The following is a 6,450-nucleotide window of genomic DNA, read 5'->3' on the forward strand; positions in this document are numbered from 1 at the left end:
CGGCTGGCCAGGCAGAGGGGCTCCTCACTTCCCAGTAGGGGCGGCCGGGCAGAGGCGCCCCTCACCTCCTGGATAGGGCGGCTGGCCGGGCGGGGGGCTGTCCCCCCCACCTCCCTCCCGGACGGGGCGGCTGGCCGGGCAGAGGGGTCCTCACTTCCCAGTAGGGGCGGCCGGGCAGAGGCGCCCCTCACCTCCCGGACGGGGCGGCTGGCCAGGCGGGGGGCTGACCCCCCACCTCCCTCCCGGGCGGGGCGGCTGGCCGGGCAGAGGGGCTCCTCACTTCCCAGTAGGGGCGGCCGGGCAGAGGCGCCCCTCACCTCCCGGACGGGGCGGCTGGCCAGGCGGGGGGCTGACCCCCCACCTCCCTCCCGGACTGGGCGGCTGGCCGGGCGGGGGGCTGACCCCCCCACCTCCCTCCTGGACGGGGCGACTGGCCGGGCAGAGGGGCTCCTCACTTCCCAGTAGGGGCGGCCGGGCAGAGGAGCCCCTCACCTCCCGGACGGGGCGGCTGGCCGGGCGGGGGGCTGACCCCCCCACCTCCCTCCCGGACGGGGCGGCTGGCCGGGCAGAGGGGTCCTCACTTCCCAGTAGGGGCGGCCGGGCAGAGGAGCCCCTCACCTCCCGGGGCGGCTGGCCGGGCGGGGGGCTGACCCCCCCCACCTCCCTCCCGGACGGGGCGGCTGCCGGGCGGAGACGCTCCTCACTTCCCAGACGGGGTGGTTGCCGGACGGAGGGGCTCCTCACTTCTCAGACGGGGCGGTTGCCAGGCAGAGGGTTTCCTCACTTCTCAGACGGAGCGGCCGGGCAGAGACGCTCCTCACATCCCAGACAGGGCGGCAGGGCAGAGGTGCTTCCCACATCTCAGACGATGGGCGGCCGGGCAGAGACGCTCCTCACTTCCTAGATGTGATGGCGGCGGGGAAGAGGCGCTCCTCGCTTCCTAGATGGGATGGCGGCCGGGCAGAGACGCTCCTCACTTTCCAGACTGGACAGCCAGGCAGAGGGGCTCCTCATATCCCAGACGATGGGTGGCCAAGCAGAGACGCTCCTCACTTCCCAGACGGGGTGGCGGCCGGGCAGAGGCTGCAATCTCGGCTCTTTGGGAGGCCAAGGCAGGCGGCTGGGAGGTGGTTGTAGCGAGCCGAGATCACGCCACTGCACTCCAGCCTGGGCACCATTGAGCACTGAGTGAACGAGACTCCGTCTGCAATCCCGGCACCTCGGGAGGCCGAGGCTGGCGGATCACTCGCGGTTAGGAGCTGGAGACCAGCCCGGCCAACACAGCGAAACCCCGTCTCCACCAAAAAAAAACGAAAACCAGTCAGGCGTGGCGGCACTCGGCAGGCTGAGGCAGGAGAATCAGGCAGGGAGGTTGCAGTGAGCCGAGATGGCAGCAGTACCGTCCAGCTTTGGCTCGGCATCAGAGGGAGACCGTGAGGGAGAGGGGGAGGGGGAGGGGGAGGGAGAGGGGGAGGGGGAGGGGGAGGGGGGAGGAGAGGGAGAGGGGGAGGGGGAGGGGGAGGAGAGGGAATGAAGTCAACCTCGCTTTATAACCCATCTTTTTGAAAACCAGGATCAATGGTTGCCTGTCTCCAGTGTTCTGGCATCACTTTGGTTTATCATGATATCTCAAAAAGCTTACTGACCATGGTTTCACAGTCCCACTTACAAATTATTTCACAGTCATTGGACATAGTTCATCTTGTTACTCTGACCCCTTGAGCAAATTTAAAGAGGCTAAATGCTCTCTTAAAATCTCCACATATCTTCGGCTTCAAGTCTCTTTTAACTGTGCTTGTCTGATGCTTTAGGTTCACCAAGCATTCATTTGTGAGAAATACAGAGGCAAAAATAGGAATGAGTTTCGTCTTCCCTCTGACATCTATTAACATTATTCCATCTTCCTTGAGCTGTGTATGTGTTCTCTGTTTGATGCATTTTGTTGTTGATAGTATTTTCCACAAAATCTATCTCAATTTGATGTTTAGCCTCTTGACACTGCTCTGTGTCACACGTTTCCCTTCATCTCCAGTTTTGTCCCATGGCTTTCATCATTTATTCATCTTTCTTTGTTTTTACTAATCAGAGACCAATCTGAGTATAGCCTTCTTATTTCTTCTTCATTTACACTTGTATCCTCCAAATTTCATTTCTGAGTGCTTCTTATGCCTTTTGTGCTATATTCTCTTTTTGTAGTTTCTGGCCAATGGGAGAGGTCCCATTGCTGCTATGTACCTTCCAAAATTGGCTTTTCACAGCCCACAGCCCTGTAGAGCAAAACCGAGGACCCCGTACCCCAACTTTCTGTCACTTTCACATCACAGAGTTTGCGGTTAACTTGGCAGCCATTCCTCTCATTGATTCCCCTGACTTTTGAGACATAAAAGAATTTTTTAGCCCCTCTTTTTCAAGAAGGGTGGTTGAAGGATCCTTTTCCAGCTGTATCCTTCTGTTCCAATTTTGTAATTTGCTTCAGAGATACCCCACCCATACCTTTTATTGGACCTGATAGCCTGTGTTGTCCAACCCCCACTGGGAGTTAAAGATTGGTTCAATGGGTAAGATGGAGATGGAAGTATGAAGGAGTCCCACACTAGGGCTGCAGGAGATGCTTTGAAACTAGGTGTTCAAACAGATCCAAGAGTCAAAGAGGAAGCTGGGTTCAATAAACAAGAAGAAAATCTCAGCATTTTGCTAAAAACTGAGGCAGATATCAAAAGCCAAGGAAGGCTGGGCACTGTGGCTCACGCCTGTAATCCTAGCGCTTTGGAGGCCAAGGCAGGCAGATCGCTTGAGGTCAGGAATTCAAGACCACCAGCCTAGCCAACATGGTGAAACTCCATCTATACAAAAAATACAAAAATTAGCCAGGCATGGCGGTGCGCACCTGTAATCCCAGCTACTTGGAAGGCTGAGGCACAAGAATAACTTGAACGCGGGAGGCGAAGGTTGCAGTGAGCTGAGATCACACCACTGCACACCAGCCTGGGTGACAGAGAAATACTCTGTCTCAAAAAAAAAAAAAGTTAGAAAAGGAATAGTATGTCTGGACAATTACCTTCAGCAAGCATTGTGGCCCAGAATGTGTGCACAAGAGAGCCTTAGGCAAATTTCTGGCTGTTTGTTTCTCTTTAGGCTCTTACCCAAATGATCTCTACCTCCTTCTTTCCTGTAAATTTCCTGGATTTCCACTTATAAATAAAAGTATGTATTTTTACAACATGGAAAGCTATGCAGCCACAAAAAAGAAGAAGATCATGTCCCTTGCAGGAACATGGATGGAGCTGGAGGCCATTATCCTTAGGAAACTAATGCAGGAACAGAAAAGCAAATACCACAGGTTCTTACTTACTTATAAGTGGAAGCTAAATGATGAGAACACACGGACACATAGAGGGGAACAACGCACAATGGGGCCTATTGGAGGGTAGAGGGAGAGGATCAGAAGAAATAACTAATGGGTACTGGGCTTAATACCTGAGTAATGAAATAATCTGTACAACAAACCCCCATGACACAACTTTACCTATGTAACAAACCTGAACATGTATGCTGAATTTAAAATAAAAATTAAAAAAAATTAAACAAATAAGTAAATAAACCTGGCAATGACTCAAAAAAAAGTATGTTTTATGATCATGCAGTTCCTGCCTCCTGTGTTGGTTTTCTTTCCTTCCTTCCTTCCTTCCTTCCTTCTTTCCTTTCCTTCCTTCCTCCCTCCCTCCCTCCCTTCCTTTCTTCCTTCCTTCCTTTTCCTTCTTTCTTTTTTCCCTTCCTTCCTTCTTCATTGCCAGATTCTGATATTGAATCTCATCTCTCTAGGTGTTGGTGGTGAGTATTAGACATGAGTAGCTTCATTGCACCAAAATTTCAAATCCTCCTCTTTTATCACCTATAGCCTATGCTTTGATATCTAGACACCACAATGACAGCTAATTTTATTGAGTATTTTCCATGTACCAGACACTATTCTCTGTTAAGTACTATATGCTAATTGTGTAGATGAAGAAACTGAAGTACAAAATGGTGAAGTTACAGCCCAATGTTGTACAACTGGCAAGTGGAAGAGTCAGAAGCTGCACCCTGGTAATTTGGTCATAGAATTCATGTTCTTAACCATCTCATCAAAACTAGTTATTTTCCCAAGACCATTTTTCTTGTCATTTTCTCTGGAGAATTACTGAGACTTCCTTTATTGTTATTCTTTTTTCCCCAATATAACTAGTGTCCTCTTTGGTTTCATATTTTAGTTTCATCTATGTACATTTTTAGTATCCTAACTTCTTTCTTTCTTTAATGTATTCATGCACCACTCTATAAACATTAATTGAGTGCCTATTGTGTTATTAGCAGTAGGCATGTGGTCCTTAACTTTAAGGAGAATCAGTCCTGACCAGGGGTTCTGATTCAGGTATAATTAATATCTTTAATGGGTCCATGAACCCACAAAGTGTTGTGCAAAGTGTTGTGTATATATTCATTTATGACTTTGAGGGTCTGCGTGAGAACCGCTAGCCTAAAAAGATAGAGAAGTAATGATGATACAATGACATCCTGATTAGACCCAGGAGCCGTGCTTCCAAACATGCTTTTTCAATCTTTCTAAGAAATACTACCTCTGTGTCAGGGTCAGTCTTTTCAATATTATAAGATATTTCAATACCATCCACTGCTATCAAAAACTGGAAAAGGCCTGAGATTTTACCCTACTTACAAGCTAACAACTTAGCCTGTCACAGTTTGATGGATGCCAACAGAAGACACAAAGCTCCTGGGTCAGAGACAAAAGACTTGATTACTCTCAGCAACAACATAGCTAGAGCAGTAGATTGCATCAGCTCCCTGATCCCCAATTCCCACAAGGTAACGTGAAGAGGACCAGCTGATGCCCACTCATGCAATGAGTTTCATTACAGGAGAGGAACCCTGAACTTAGACAGCTCAAATCTTTCATAATGGGTGGTAAGCCTCCCAGAAGGTGACATTATTTATTCTACTGGACAGTAAACATTCTTGCTTATTCTTCTGCAGGGAGACACTGTCTTTATCTTCCAACACTGTTTGTTATACAAGCATCCTTGAAAAGATAGTCTGGAACAAAAGCAGTCAGTGCCTCTGGTCACAAGGTGTACACATCTCTAGCATGTGACTTGTACCCACTGTGGGAATCCCTCTGTCTTTTGTCCTTTCTCCTCACCCTTGCCAAGAGTGCAAGAACTGAATCCTAAATGCCATCTGATAACACTAGTTCAGTCTTGAAAAACAACTGAGATTTTTAATATGATTTGGGGGGAAGGAGTGATGCGAGACCTACCTATAAACAAGGGAGACCTGTCAGGGCAGAGATGTCAGGGGTCTTTGGGTCAAAACATTGTGTATTTCCTTCTTCCCAGGTAATTTATGCTGCTGTACTGGACAGAGACCCATTGTGGATAGTGGGAAAAGTTTCAGTCTTGTGAGTATGAAACAACTGATAGCTGCAGAGCCAACAGTTCTGGATTAAGTCACAAATCATCATGTGCATTATGCAGGATTGGTTTTCAAGGAAAGCACAATATTGTGTCTTAGAGAAAAATGGTTCACATTTTACCCAACTCAGTGATGGTAACTAGGTATTTTTCTCAGAAACACAGACAGGTGGCACCTCAATGGCTTTTTGAAACTGAAGTTTATAAAATAGCATATTTCAAGTGAAAACGAATTAGGCCATCTTCCTTACATCTTGTTTTGTTGATAGGAAAACAGTCTATTTCTCATGCTGCCATTTCAGCAGCACTTTTTGTTGAGTCACCACCAAAGTTAAACATTTTTGTGAAATAAATCCCTATGTCCTCTTGGAATGTGCTTCCATCTTTGATTAGTACTCATGGTAGATGGGGAAGAGAGAAGGAACATTTTCATCTTTTATGCTGCGTGGAATCAGTAGCCATTCAGCAATGTGTAGCAATCATAGAGCATTAGATTCAGACCTTCCTCTGCCCACTTCCTCCACATCCCACGCTCTGAAAAACACATAATTTCTCCACACTCTCACACAAACACTTCTGACACCAGATGTGTGTGGTTTTTTTCCACACCAACAAATTCTCCAATCTCCAGACACCAGCTGGTATCCTACAGTTTAATCCAATTCTGACCCTATCTACCAGGAGTTAGTGGCAGCTCCCACAAATTAAGGGCTCAGTCTCACAAGATCCCCTACATCACATGCCAATCGCAAGTCTGGGCCTCCTATATTTCTAACCTACCAGCTATAAATTGGAGGTTCCCACGAACTCCTCCTTGGGTTTGGTAATTTGCTAGAATGGCTCACAGAACTCAGGTAAACACTTTACTTAACATTTACTGGTTTATTATAAAGATATTGTCAAGGACACAGAAGAATGCACTATGAAAGGTACATAAAGCAAGGTCCAGAAGGGTCCTGGGTGTAGGAGCTCCTGTCTCGGT

This window comes from Homo sapiens, chromosome 2 (genome assembly GCF_000001405.40).
Source record: "Homo sapiens chromosome 2, GRCh38.p14 Primary Assembly".
NCBI lineage: Eukaryota > Metazoa > Chordata > Mammalia > Primates > Hominidae > Homo > Homo sapiens.